At 47.4% G+C, this 13,105-nt stretch overlaps 1 protein-coding gene across 18 annotated transcripts in view, besides 4 other annotated features; it reads right to left on the reverse strand.

Annotated features, from left to right (window-relative positions):
• Positions 1-914: part of a non allelic homologous recombination region, noted in NCBI's record as "sub-region SSN9'-SSN11', recombines with sub-region SSN9-SSN11 within the WBS centromeric block B recombination region", that runs on past the window's edge. NCBI's record gives the evidence for it as "EXISTENCE:restriction fragment detection evidence [ECO:0001124][PMID:12796854]".
• The window catches only part of GTF2IRD2 (GTF2I repeat domain containing 2), a 55,455-nt gene that overhangs the window by 35,735 nt on the left and 6,615 nt on the right, over positions 1-13,105 (reverse strand). For 17 of the 18 annotated variants that reach the window (NR_170884.1, NR_170883.1, NR_170886.1 and 14 more), the window contains 2 exons: positions 4,395-4,498; positions 920-1,058 (listed from right to left, as the gene is read on the reverse strand). Coding sequence is in view for 12 of the 18 variants with exons in the window: in NM_001368300.2 (NP_001355229.1) it covers positions 920-1,058; positions 4,395-4,498 (243 nt within the window). In the remaining 6 variants the exon portion in view is untranslated. Of the gene's footprint in view, positions 1-672; positions 1,059-4,394; positions 4,499-13,105 lie in introns of those variants that run through there. The other variant, NM_001281447.3, reaches the window with a different exon arrangement.
• Positions 1-13,105: part of a biological region, named in NCBI's record as "Williams-Beuren syndrome medial block B recombination region", that runs on past both edges of the window. NCBI's record gives its function as "recombination_partner: LOC106029311 | LOC106029313".
• Positions 640-1,793: a meiotic recombination region, noted in NCBI's record as "meiotic double-strand break mapped by DNA meiotic recombinase 1 chromatin immunoprecipitation followed by single-stranded DNA enrichment and sequencing in the germ cells of some male individuals with PRDM9 A/A and PRDM9 A/C genotypes". NCBI's record gives the evidence for it as "EXISTENCE:chromatin immunoprecipitation-seq evidence [ECO:0000229][PMID:25395542]".
• Positions 768-13,105: part of a non allelic homologous recombination region, noted in NCBI's record as "sub-region SSN11-SSN13, recombines with sub-region SSN11'-SSN13' within the WBS telomeric block B recombination region", that runs on past the window's edge. NCBI's record gives the evidence for it as "EXISTENCE:restriction fragment detection evidence [ECO:0001124][PMID:12796854]".

Consider the following 13,105-nt stretch of genomic DNA (forward strand, 5'->3'; position numbering starts at 1 on the left):
TTGCCCAGCTTGGCCTCAAACTCCTGAGCTCAAGTGATCCATCTGCCTTGGCCTCCCAAAATTTTGGGATTACAGGAGTGAGCCACCGAGCCCGGCAGAAGGTGTAGTTTTTAACACTGTAGAGTAGTTCCTTGACATATGGCCACATATACTCACTCACACTGGATGCTTGCAGCACACCGTGGCATATTGAAGGCTCTGAAATTGCCATACTAAGAAAAGGAAAAAACGGCCAGGTGCAGTGGCTCACACCTGTAATTCCAGTACTTTGGGAGGCAGAGGTGGGCAGATCACTTGTGGTCAGGAGTTTGAGACCAGCCTGGCCAACAGGGTGAAACCCTTTCTCTACCAAAAATATAAAAATTAGCTGGGCATGGTGGAAGGTGCCTGTAATCCCAGCTACTCGGGAGGCTGAGGCAGGAGAATCGCTTAAACCTGGGAGGCGGAGGTTGCGGTGAGCCAAGATCGCACCACTGCACTCCAGCCTGGGTGACACAGTGAGACTCTGTCTCAAAAAAATAAAGAAAAAAAGAAAAAAGGAGTAATTGTATAATGGCTATTAATAGGCAGTAATACACAACAAGCTCTGAAAAAGTTTTTCCCCCTTCCTTTGGAAAGGACTAAAGAGTATTTTGTAAAATGGTGTTTATTTTAGGAATTAAAGATAATTTGTTCTATGTCCTTGAAATTTATTCTAATAAACCAGAGTACCGCTGAGGACCTAGTATAAAATAAAATGACCATTTGTCTTGGACTCTGCAGTGTTAAGCAGTGTTTATTTGGTAAGCTGAATCCAAGAAGATGTGTTAGGATCGTTTCTAGGAGAATGCTTATGATAGCTTAGAAGAAAATACTGTGGAAGTCTTGCCTGCGATCCTTTTGAGATTGGGAATACAAAGGATAAAATTAAAACACCTACAGTATTTTGCAAAATCTTTCTGAAAATCCGTCCTGGCATTAACAAAAGCGCATCCTCTCTCGGTTCCGACGACAAACACGTCTGTTTCGTACACTGCGATGCAGGCCACTTCTGCCTTGGACTTGGCCAGTTCTTTACACTGAAACAGAAACAAAAAGCGATGTATTATCTACAAGGGCAGATCCAAGTTTGTGGGGCCTGGGAGGCCTGATTTAAGAATACAAAATTAGGTAGCAAAAGGAATATTTATTTATTTATTTATTTTTGAGACGGAGTCTCGCTCTGTCACCCAGGCTGGAGTGCAGTGGCGCAATCTCGGCTCACTGCAAGCTCCGCCTCCCGGGTTCATGTCATTCTCCGGCCTCAGCCTCCTGAGTAGCTGGGACTACAGGCGCCTGCAACCACGCCTGGCTAATTTGTGTGTGTGTGTGTGTGTGTGTGTGTGTGTGTGTATTTTTAGTAGAGACGGGGTTTCACCGTGTTAGCCAGGATGGTCTCGATCTCCTGACCTTGTGATCCGCCCACCTTGGCCTCCCAAAGTGCTGGGATTACAGGTGTGAGCCACTGCGCCCGGCCAGGAATATTTATTTAGAATGAGAAAAATCACTGAGAAAGGAAATCAAAAGAAATTTATCAAGCAAACACCATAAACATCATAAAACCCAAAGAACATATTTTTATTGACTGCCTGACATGGATCTTCCAATATGCCTTTTCCCTACATTTTTGGCTGCAGACTTTCTGGTTACCTCTTCATATATACCTTTTTTTTTGAGATGGAGTCTTGCTCTGTCACCCAGACTGGAGGGCAGTGGTGCGATTTCGCCTCATTACAACCTCCGCCTCAGCCTCCCATGTTAGCTGGGATTAAAGGTGCCTGCCACCACACCCAGCTAATATATTTGTATTTTTAGTAAAGACGGGGTTTCACCAAGTTGACCAGGCTGGTTTCAACTCCTGACCTCAGGTGATCCACCCTCCTCGGCCTCCCAAAGTGCTGGGATTACAGGCGTTGAGTCCCCATGCCCAGCCGAATTTGTTTATTGTTTATCTCCCGAGTAGGATATAAGATCTCTGTAAGGCGGACCTTCTCAGGTCTTGTGACTCCAGTTCCTAGAAGAGGGCCTTGGCTTAGGAAGTGCTTCATGGATATTTGTCAAATGAAAGGAATGTGATCAGTTCTTAAACAATGTCCCTGGGGAAGATATTTCGAGTTTTCTTCAAACAGATCCTAATGCTTTATTATTATTATTATTTGAGAGAGGGTCTTGTTCTGTTACCCAGGCTGAAGTACAGTGGTGCAATCCTAGCTCACTGCAGCCTTGATCTCCTAGGCTGGAGCAATCCTCTTGCCTCAGCTTCTCTAGTAGCTGGGACTATAGGCATGTGTCACCACGCCTGGCTAATTTTTAAAATTTTTTATTTTTCCTTTTTTTTTTTTTTTGAGACGGAGTCTTGCCCTGTTGCCCAGGCTGGAGTGCAATGGCGTGACCTCGACTCAGTGCAACCTCTGCCTCCCAGGTTCAAGCGATTCTCCTGCTTCAGCCTCCCAAGTAGCTGGGATTACAGGCATGTGTCACCACTCCTGGCTAATTTTTTGTATCTTTAATAGAGACGAGGTTTCACCATGTTAGCCAGGCTGGTCTCGAACTCCTGACCTTGTGATCTGCCTGCCTCGGCCTCCCAAACTCCCAAAGTGCTGGGATTACAGGTGTGAGCCACCGCGCCCGGCCTAAAAATTGTTTTTAGTAGACAGAAGGTCTTGCTATGTTACCCAGGCTGGTCTCAAAACTCCTGAGCTCAAGTGATCCTCTGGCCTTGGCCTCATGAAGTGGTGGGATTACGGGCGTGAGCCACCCTGCCTACCCCTAATGCTTTCTTCTAAAATTAATTCCAACTTATTTTTTTTTTTTTTTAAGAGTCAGGGTCTTGTGCTGTGCAGGCTGGAGTGCAGTGTCATGATAGCTCATGATAGCTTACTGCAGACTTGAACTCCTGGGCTCAAGCAATCTTTCCATCTCAGCACCCCAACTAGCTGGAACTATAGCACCATCCCCTCCAGCTAATTTTTTAAAAATAGTCTTGTAGAGACAAGGTCTCACTATGCTGCCCAGGCTGGTCTCCAACTCCTGGCCTCAAGCCATCCTCCCACCTCGACTCCCAAACCGCTGGGATTACAGTCTGACTATGCTAATTTTGATCACTTGAATGAGGTGGTGTCTGTCAGGTTTCTGCACTGTAAAGTTACTGATTTTCCATTTTTAATCAATAAATATCTTCTGATCAGGTACTTTGGAGTTATGTAAATTTCTCATCAAATTTTCACCCACCAGGTAAAGTTTATCTTTTGGATGTAAATAGATATATATAAATAGGCTGTTTACTTTTTTTTTCTTGAGACAGAGTCTCGCTCTGTTGCACAGGCTGGAGTGCAATGGCACAATCTCAGCTCACTACAACCTCCGCCTCCCGGGTTCAAGTGATTCTCGTGTCTCAGCCTCCTGAGTAGCTGGGAATACAGATGCCCGCCACCACGTCCAGCTAATGTTTCTATTTTTAGTAGAAATGGGGTTTCACCATGTTGGCCAGGCTGGTCTCCAACTCCTGACCTCAAGTCATCCACACACCTTGGCCTCCCAAAGTGCTGGGATTACAGGCGTGAGCCACTGCACCTGGCCTATTTACTTTTGAAATTAGATTTTTAAAATATTCTCAAACATGGTAACAAAGGTTACCATTCATTACATTTCAGATCTGGGAAGCTTAAGTTTATATAATTGCATCCATAATGTAATATACAAATACATAAATAATCTGACAAGCCCATTACCCTCTATAAAGGATACCCTTATATAGATGTCAGGCAGCAGGCAAACATCAAAAGTGATACTGAAGCAGCCAGACACGGTGGCTCACGCCTGTAATCCCACCACTTTGGGAGGCCGAGGTGGGCAGATCACCTGAGAGTAAGGAGTTCGAGACCAGCCTGGCCAACGTGGTGAAACCCCGTCTCTATTAAAAATACAAAAAATAAGCCGGGCGTAGTGGCCGGCGCCTGTAATCCCAGCTACTTGGGAGGCTGAGGCAGGAGAATTGCTTGAACCCGGGAGGCGGAGGTTGCAGTGAGCCGACATCATGCCACTGCACTCCAGCCTGGGCAGCAGAGCAAGACTCTGTCTCAAAAAAAAAAAACAAAAATTAGCTGGATGTGGTGGCTGGTGCCTATAATCCCAGCTACCCAGGAGGCTGAGGCAGGAGAATTGCTTGAACGCAGGAGAATTGCTTGAACCCAGGAGGCAGAGGTTGCCGTGAGCTGAGATTGTGCCACTGCACTCCAGCCTGGGTGACAGAGTGAGACTCTGTCTTAAAAAAAAGAAAAGAAAAAAAACAAAAGGGATACTGAAGTGTTTCATGATTCTGTCATTTCGACAATGATCCATCTATGGAATGTCAGACAAGTGTCAGGCTGTCTCACCATGGATTCGAGGGCAGACACGAGGAATGTCACCACCATCCTGGTCTCTGAGGAGGACTCTTCTTCAACAGGCAGGGTGGACACTGCTACCTGGGCCATGATCCCTGTGCAAGAGAAGCAATAAGAAAGTGGCAAAAATTCAGAGTCTGAAACCCACATTTAGAGATGTGAGGGTGCTCACCAAAGATCTAGTTCAAACTTTCCTCTTGAGATGAAGAAACTGAAATTTAAAGGCATTTAGTGACTTGCCCATGAGCTCCTGAATAGTAATGCTAACTTATTTTATTTTATTTTGTTTTATTTTGAGACAGGATCTTGCTCTGTCACCCAGGCTGGAGTGCAGTGGCGCAATCACAGCTTACTGTAACCTCTGCCCCCTGGATTCAATCAGTCCTCCCATCTCAGCCTCCCCAGCAGCTGGGACTACAGGTGAGCGCCATCACGCCTGGCTGATTTTTGTATTTTTTGTAAAGACGGGGTTTTGCCATGTTACCTAGGCTGGTCTCAAACTCCTGAGCTCAAGCAATCTGCCTTCCTTGGCCTCCCAGAGTGCTGGGATTATAGGTGTGAGCCACCACACCCAACCCTGCTAACTCTCTTTCTTTCTTTCTTTTTTTTTTGAGACTGAGTTTCACTCTTGTTACCCAGGCTGGTGCAATGGCACGATCTCAGCTCACTGCAACCACCACCTCCTGGGTTCAAGTGATTCTCCTGCCTCAGTCTCCCGAGTAGCTGGGATTACAGGTGTCTGCCACCACACCCAGCAAATTTTTGTATTTTTAGTGGAGATGAGGTTTTGCCATGTTGGCCAGGCTGGTCTCGAACTCCTGACCTGAGGCGATCCGTCCGCCTTGGCCTCCCAAAGTGCTGGGATTACAGGCGTAAGCCACCGTGCCCAGTCAACTTTCTTTTTTAAAAACTATTTATTTATTTAGACACAGGGTCTTGCTCTGTCACTCAGGCTGGAGTGCAGTGGGGCAATCTCAACTCACTGTAGGGTCCGAAGCAGCTGGGACTACAAGCACACTCCAGCAAACCTGGATTTATTTATTTATTTATTTATTTTGTAGAAACAGGGTTTTGCCATGTTGCCCATACTGGTCTTGAACTCCTGGTCTCACGTGATCCACCTGCCTCGGCTTCCCAAAGTGCTGGGATTATAGGCATGAGCCACCATGCCCAGCCTTTTTTTCTGGAACAGAGTCTTGCTCTGTCGCCCAGGCTGGAGTGCAATGGTGCGATCTTGGCTCACTGCAACCTCTGCCTCCCAGGTTCAAGCGATTCTCCTGCCTCAGCCTCCCAAGTAGCTGGGATTATAGGCTCCCACCACCACGCCTGGTTACTTTTTGTATTTTTAGTAGAGATGGGGTTTCACCATGTTGGACCAGGCCAGTCTCGAATTGCTGACCTCAAGTGATCCACTTGCCTAGGCCTCCCAAAATGCTGTGATTACAGGCGTGAGCCACTGCACCCAGTCTTTTTTTTTTTTAAGACAGAGTCTCATTCTGTCGCCCAGGCTGGAGTGCAGTGGCACGATCTCCGCTCACGGCAAGCTCCACCTCCCAGGTTCACGCCATTCTCCTGCCTCAGCCTCCCGAGTAGCTGGGACTACAGGCGCCTGCCACCACGCCTGGCTAATTTTTTGTATTTTTAATAGAGACGGGGTTTCACCATGTTAGCCAGGATGGTCTCGATCTCCTGACCGCGTGATCCGCCCACCTCAGCCTCCCAAAGTGCTGGGATTACAGGTGTGAGCCACCGCGCCCGGCCCGCACCCAGCCTTTTACATTTATTTTTATGCTAACTTTATAGAATATATTTTCCACTAAACCTACACATGGCCTCCCCGTAAAACAAACTCAGGTATTATGTGAGAGGAGCATGCTGTTTCCCAGATGAGGAGAGGAGGATTTGTACCTTATTGATCCAATGATGTTTAGTCAGATTTCAGCATGGTTGTGACAGCTACCACACTATTTCACTTACACATAGAAAGGGTATAATGGGTTTGTGTGCTAAAGATAGGAAGAGAAAATTCCTTCTTTCCCACTTCCCTTCGGACTTCTGTCTCCTAAAAGCTCACTCTAAATTTTGCCAAGATTTTTTTTTTTTTTTTTAGCTTTTTGTTTGTTTTGTTTTTAGAGACAGGATCTCACTCTGTCACCCAGTCTGGAGTGCAGTGGCACAATCATGGCTCACTGCATCCTCCAACTCTCAGGCTCAAGTGATCTTCCTGCCTCACCCTCCCGTGTAGCCCCAGCTATGTTTTGCATATGGGACTGCAGGCATGTATTACCAGGCTCAGCTAATTTTTAAACATTTTTTTGTAAAGATGGGGTCTTGCTCTATCGCCAAGGCTGATCTCAAATTCCTGGGCTTAAGCCATCCTCCTGTGTCGGCCTCCTTAAGTGCCGGGATGACAGGCATGAGCTACTGTGCCTGGCTGATACATTTTGCCAAGCTCTAAATGAAGTTAGCTTTAAGAAATTTCTTTGAAAAAAATTCTCTGAAATCTTAAAAACAACTTTTTGAAATGGAACATGCAAATTAAGTACCTGTCAGCTACCATCATATCCCTCCAATATTTGGCTTAATTCTATTTGTAAGCAAAAGATACACAGATCAACATGAGTGTGCATGCGGAAGGAAGACAGAAGATTTTTCTATTGAGTTTCACTCTTGTCACCCAGGCTGGAGTGAAGTGGTGTGATCTCTGCTCACTGCAACCTCTGCCTCCCGGGTTCAAGCGATTCTCCTGCCTCAGCCTCCCAAGTAGCTGGGATTACAGGCAGGCGCCACCATGCTCGGCTAATTTTTGTATTTTTAGTAGAGACGGGGTCTCACTATGTTGCCCAGACTGGTCTCCAACTCCTGGGCTCAAGCGATCTTCCTGCTTCTGCCTCCCACACCAGTGCTGGGATTACAGGTGTGAGCCACCGCGCCCAGCCGGTATTGTTTTTCATAGCAAAGACTCTGTTCTGGCAACAGAGCTGGAGTCAGAAAAAGCAGCCTCAATTGCCTCTCTGCTTTTTGGCTAAGATGAAGAGTAGCAAAAGCGGCATCCAGCCATGAGACGCGTAGGTCCTAGAAAGTCTTTTCTTGAGCATTCTAGATTCCACTCACCAAGCAAATGCACATCAAAGAATATGTAACGGCAAAGACATGTTAAGTTCCCATTCACCAGAACACTCCCTTAGATCATGCTCCATCCTGATTCTTTTGGAAGCTCAGAGAATTTCCATTCGTAATCTTTATTTTGTCTTTAGCATCCCCGGGAGAGAAAAGGGCGTAGAAGTATTCTCATTTTACAACTTAGCAAGTTGTCCAAGCAAAGCTAGAACATACACCAGGACAATTTTTGCCTAGTGCTATTTCCACTTCTTCACACCTGCAATTGCCATTGATCTATGATGTCATCACACTCAATGTGTATTAAGAAATGGGGCCGGCGTGGTGGCTCACGCCTATAATCCCAACACTTTTGGAGGCTGAGGCAAGCGGATCACTTGAGGTCAGGAGTTCGAGACCAGCCTGGCCAACATGGTGAGACCCCCCCCTTCTCTACTAAAAATTAGCTGGGCATGGTGGCAGACACCTGTAATCCCAGCTACTCCGGAGGCTGAGGCAGGAGAATTGCTTGAACCCAGAAGGCGGAGGTTGCAGTGAGCCAAGATTGTGCCACTGCCCTCCAGGTGGGGCAACAGAGTAAGATTCCGTCTAAAAACAAAAAAAGGGAGATGCCACAGCAACAGCCCAAGGGGCACCCCTGGTGATGAAGGTCCTATGTCTTTTTTTTTTTTTTTTTTTTTTTGAGACGGAGTCTCACTCTGTCGCCCAGACTGGAGTGCATGATCTCTGCGCACTGCACCCAGTGGCATGATCTCTGCGCACTGCAAGCTCTGCCTCCCAGGTTCACGCCATTCTCCTGCCTCAGCCTCCCGAGTAGCTGGGACTATACGCGTGTGCCACCATGCCCAGCTAATTTTTTGTATTTTTAGTAGAGACGGGGTTTCACCATGTTAGCCAGGATGGTCTCGATCTCCTGACCTCGTGATCTGCCCACCTCGGCCTCCCAAAGTGCTGGGATTACAGGCGTGAGCCACCGCACCCGGCCGGTCCTATGTCTTTATCATAACTTTCAGGGCATGCAGCAAGCCTTGCAGGATGGAAGGCACCCTGGGGACGGCGACCCACGGGCCTTCTCTGTGCTTCCTGCTCTCTGGAAATGGGTGCATCCGGGTCACATCAGAAGTTTACTGTTCTTTGCTTGTCCCGAGGTTCCTTCCTGGGACAGTCCTTAGTTGAAACTATTCATGGAGCCTTCCCTGCACCCTTCACTTGGGGACGGCTCCCTCTCTTCTCTCCTCTTCCCAGAAAGAAACTGCCATCAGGAGGTGGCATTAATTAACAATGAACACCAGAGGAGGCATCGGGCCAGGCAGGTGACGCCAGCTTAGGAAGCACCTGATGCACTGGTCCCCACGGGACCACATGCCAGGAGAGCCACGGGCTGTACTCAGGCATCTTGTCTATTGAAGAAGATACTAAATCAACTGCTTATTTATTTATTTTTATATGTATTTTTTGAGACAAGGTCTTACTCTGTCACCCAGGCTGGAGTGCAGTGGTGCGATCTCGGCTCACTGCAACCTCTACCTCCCAGGTTCAAGCAATTCTCCTGCCTCAGCCTCCCGAGTAGCCGGGATTGTAGGCACCCGCCACCGGGCCCAGCTAAGTTTTCTATTTTTCAGTAGAGACGGGGTTTCACCATGTTGGCCAGGCCGGTCTTGAACTCCTAACCTCAGTTGATCCACACGCCTCAGCCTCCCAGAGTGCTGGGTCTACAGGCGTGAGCCACCATGCCCAGCCTTATTTTATATATATATATGTATTGGTTTTTTTTTTTGACATGGAGTCTCACTCTGTTGCCCAGGCTGGAGTGAAATGGCATGATCTTGGCTCACTGCAATCCCTGCCTCTGGGGTTCAAGCAGTTCTTCTGCCTCAGCCTCCCAAGTAGCTGGGATTACAGGCAGCTCCCACCATGGCCGGCTAATTTTTTGTGTTTTTAGTAGAGATGGGGTTTCATCATGTTGGCCAGGCTGGTCTCGAACTCCCGACCTCAAGTGATCTACCTGCCTTGGCCTCCCGAAGCCCTGTGATTACAGCCATGAGCCACTGAGCCTGGTCAGCTTTTTTATTTCTAAGAGTCAGAGTCTCACAATGTCACCCAGGCTGGAGTGCAGTGGCTTGATCATGGCTCCCTGCAGCCTCCAACTCCTGGACTCAAGCCATCCTTCCCCCTCATCCACACTGGGATTACAGCTGCAAGCCACTACACCTGGCTCAATCAACTACTTCCTATGAATGTTTCACTTCTGACCTTTTATGAATCCCCTCAACTTAAAATCCAAAGGAGTCACATATTATGTAATTCCATTCATATTAAATTTCTAGAATAGGGAAATCTATAGGAACTGAAAATAGATTAGTGGTTATTTCAGGTTGATAGCTAAAGGGTAAAAGGTTTCAGAGTGATGAAAATGTTCAAAAATTGACTGTGATGGCCGGGCACAGTGGCTCACGCCTGTAATCCCAGCACTTTGGGAGGCCGAGGCGGACGGATCACGAGGTCAAGAGATCGAGACCATCCTGGCCAACTTGGTGAAACTTTGTCTCTACTAAAAATACAAAAATTAGCCGGGCATGGTGGCGCACGCCTGTAGTCCCAGCTACTCGGGAGGCTGAGGCAGGAGAATCTCTTGAACCCGGGAGGCGGAGGTTGCAGTGAGCCGAGATCCCACCACTGCACTCCAGCCTGGGCAACAGAGTGAGACTCCGTCTCACAAAAAAAACAAAACAAAACAAAAATTGACTGTGATGATAGTTGTACAACTCTGTGAATCTATTTCAAGAAACCACTGAACAGTACACTTTATTTTTTTTAATTTTCTTTTTTTTTTTTTTTTGAGATGGGGTCTTGCTCTGTCTCCCAGGCTGGAGTGCAGTGGCACAATCACAGTTCACTGCAACCTCTGCCTTCTGGGTTCAAGCGATTCTCCTGCCTCAGCCTCCTGAGTAGCTAGGATTACAGGCGTGCACCACCATGCCCAGCTAATTTTTTGTATTTGTAGTAGAGATGGGGTTTTGCCATGTTGTCCAGGCTGGTCTTGAACTCCTGACCTCAGGTGATCCACCCTCCTTGGCCTCCCAAAGTGCTGGGATTATAGGTGTGAGGCACTATGCCCACCCCTATTTTTTAAATTTTTATTTATTTTTTCTGACAGGGTCTCATTCTGTCACCCAGGCTGACGTGCAGTGCCATGATCATAGTTGGAGTACAGTGGTGCAATCACTGTAGCCTTGACCTCCTGGGCTCAAGCAATGCTCCTGCCTCAGCCTCCAGAGTAGCTAAGATGACAGGCATGTGCCACGACACTCAGCTAATTTTCTATTTTTGTAAAGAGGTCTCACTATGTTGCCCACGCTGGTCTCAAACTCCTGGGCTCAAACGATCCTTCCACCTCAGCCTCCCAGAGTGTTGGGATTACAGGCATGAGCCTCCGTGTACAGCCTGAACTGTACACTTCAAATGGGTGAACTGTATAAGTATATGAATTGTATCTCAATAAAACAGTTTTTATCATATTTATTTATTTGTTTTTGAGACGGAGTCTCACTCTGTGGCCCAGGCTGGAATGCAGTGGCACGATCTCAGCTCACTGCAACCTCCGCCTCCCGGGTTCAAGCAATTCTCCTGCCTCAGCCTCCCAAGTAGCTGAGATTACAGGCTTGGGTCAACATGCCTGGCTAATTTTTGTATTTTTAGTAGACACAGGGTTTCATCACGTTGGCCAGGCCAGTCTCAAACTCCTGACCTCAAGTGATCTGGCCTCCTTGGCCTCCCAAAGTGGTGGGTGACAGGCGTGAGCCACCGCGCCCAGCTAAAGAGATTTTTAAAAATCAAATAAAATCAAAGAGAGGTTGGATGGAAAAAAAGAAAATTAACATGTACTGAACTACACTCTATGCGCCGATGCTTTTACGATCACCCAATTTAAAACCTACACACCCTCCAAGGGAAATATTATTTTCCGTGAAAGGACACAGAGAGCATGGGAGCCTGCTGGTGGGTGTGCAGATGGTTTAAGGAATGGCAGAGGCTGCAACCGCAGTGGAGGAGCAGAAAGGCAAACAGAAGAAAGGCCCCATGAGGGGAAAATAAGATGGGTGACCCACATGTCCCAGGTGGGACAGTCCTAGTCCACACCCACCCTGCCAGTGAAATTATTAACAATGCTCCCTTCATTCTCAAGTGCCTGGAAGATGAATTATAAGATATTTATGTATGGGTTGTTGTGTGTGAAATGCACACACAAAATTACTAGAATCATGGCACCCCACGTCCTTAAAACAACCTCCAAACTCAGAGAGGTCTCTCCCTGACGCCGACCAAAAGGCAATCAAAACACCGATCTCTTAACTCAATGCTTAAGTCTGCATACTTTATTTAGCATGAAGAAAAATGGTCAAAACAATCATGCAATCCATTTCCTGTGAAATAAAAAAAAAAGTTTTAAATAAAAATTCTTCTTTTTTTTTTTTTGAGACAGAGTTTTGCTCTTGCTGCCCAGGCTGGAGTGCAGTGGCTTGATCTTGGCTCACTGCAACCTCTGCCTCCCGGGTTCAAGCGATTCTGCTGCCTCAGCCTCCTGAGTAGCTGGGACTACAGGCCCGTGCCACCATGCCCAGCTAATTCTTTGTATTTTTAGTAGAGACAGGGTTTCACCGTGTTAGCCAGGATGGTCTTAATATCCTGACCTTGTGATCCACCCGCCTTGGTCACCCAAAGTGCTGGGATTACAGGCGTGAGCCACCACTCCTGGCATGCCCAGCGAATTTTTGTACTTTTAGTAGAGACGAGGTTTCCCCATATTGGTCAGGCTGGTCTTGAACCCCTGACCTCAGGTGATCCACCTGCCTCAGCCTCCCAAAGTGCTGGGTTTACAGGCATGATCTACCACGCCTGGCCGAAAATTCTTTTACCTGATGTAAACTAGACTAGATGAGGATTATGTTTTTTTTATTTATTTATTTATTTATTTATTTATTTATTTATTTATTTTGAGACGGAGTCTCGCTCTGTTGCCCAGGCTGGAGTGCAATGGCGTGATCTCAGCTCACTACAATCTCCACCTCCCTGGTCAAGCGACTATCCTGCCTCAGCCTCCTGAGTAGTTGGGACTACAGGCGCCCGCCACCACGCCCAACTAATTTTTGTATTTTTAGTAGAGATGGGATTTTGCCATGTTGGCCAGGCTGGTCTCGATCTCTTGACCTCCTGATCCACCCGCCTCAGCCTCCCAAAGTGCTGGGATCACAGGCGTTAGCCACCGTGCCTGGCCGATTTTTTTTTTTTTCTTTTTTGAGACAAGGTCTCACTCTGTCACCCAGGCTGGAGTGCAGTGGTGCACTCTCAGCTCACTGCAACTTCCCCATCCCGGGCTCAAGCAATCCTCGTGCCTCAGCCTCCTGAGTAGCTGGGACCACAGGCACGTGCCATCATGCCCAGCTCATTTTCTGCATTTTTTTTTTTTTAATAGGAGGTTTCACCATGTTGCCCAGGCTGGTCTCAAACTCCTGACCTCAGGTGATCTGCCACCTTGGCCTCCCAAAGTGTTGGGATTACAGGTGTCAGTCACCTGCCTGGCC

The sequence above is a fragment of the Homo sapiens genome, chromosome 7, assembly GCF_000001405.40.
Source record: "Homo sapiens chromosome 7, GRCh38.p14 Primary Assembly".
NCBI lineage: Eukaryota > Metazoa > Chordata > Mammalia > Primates > Hominidae > Homo > Homo sapiens.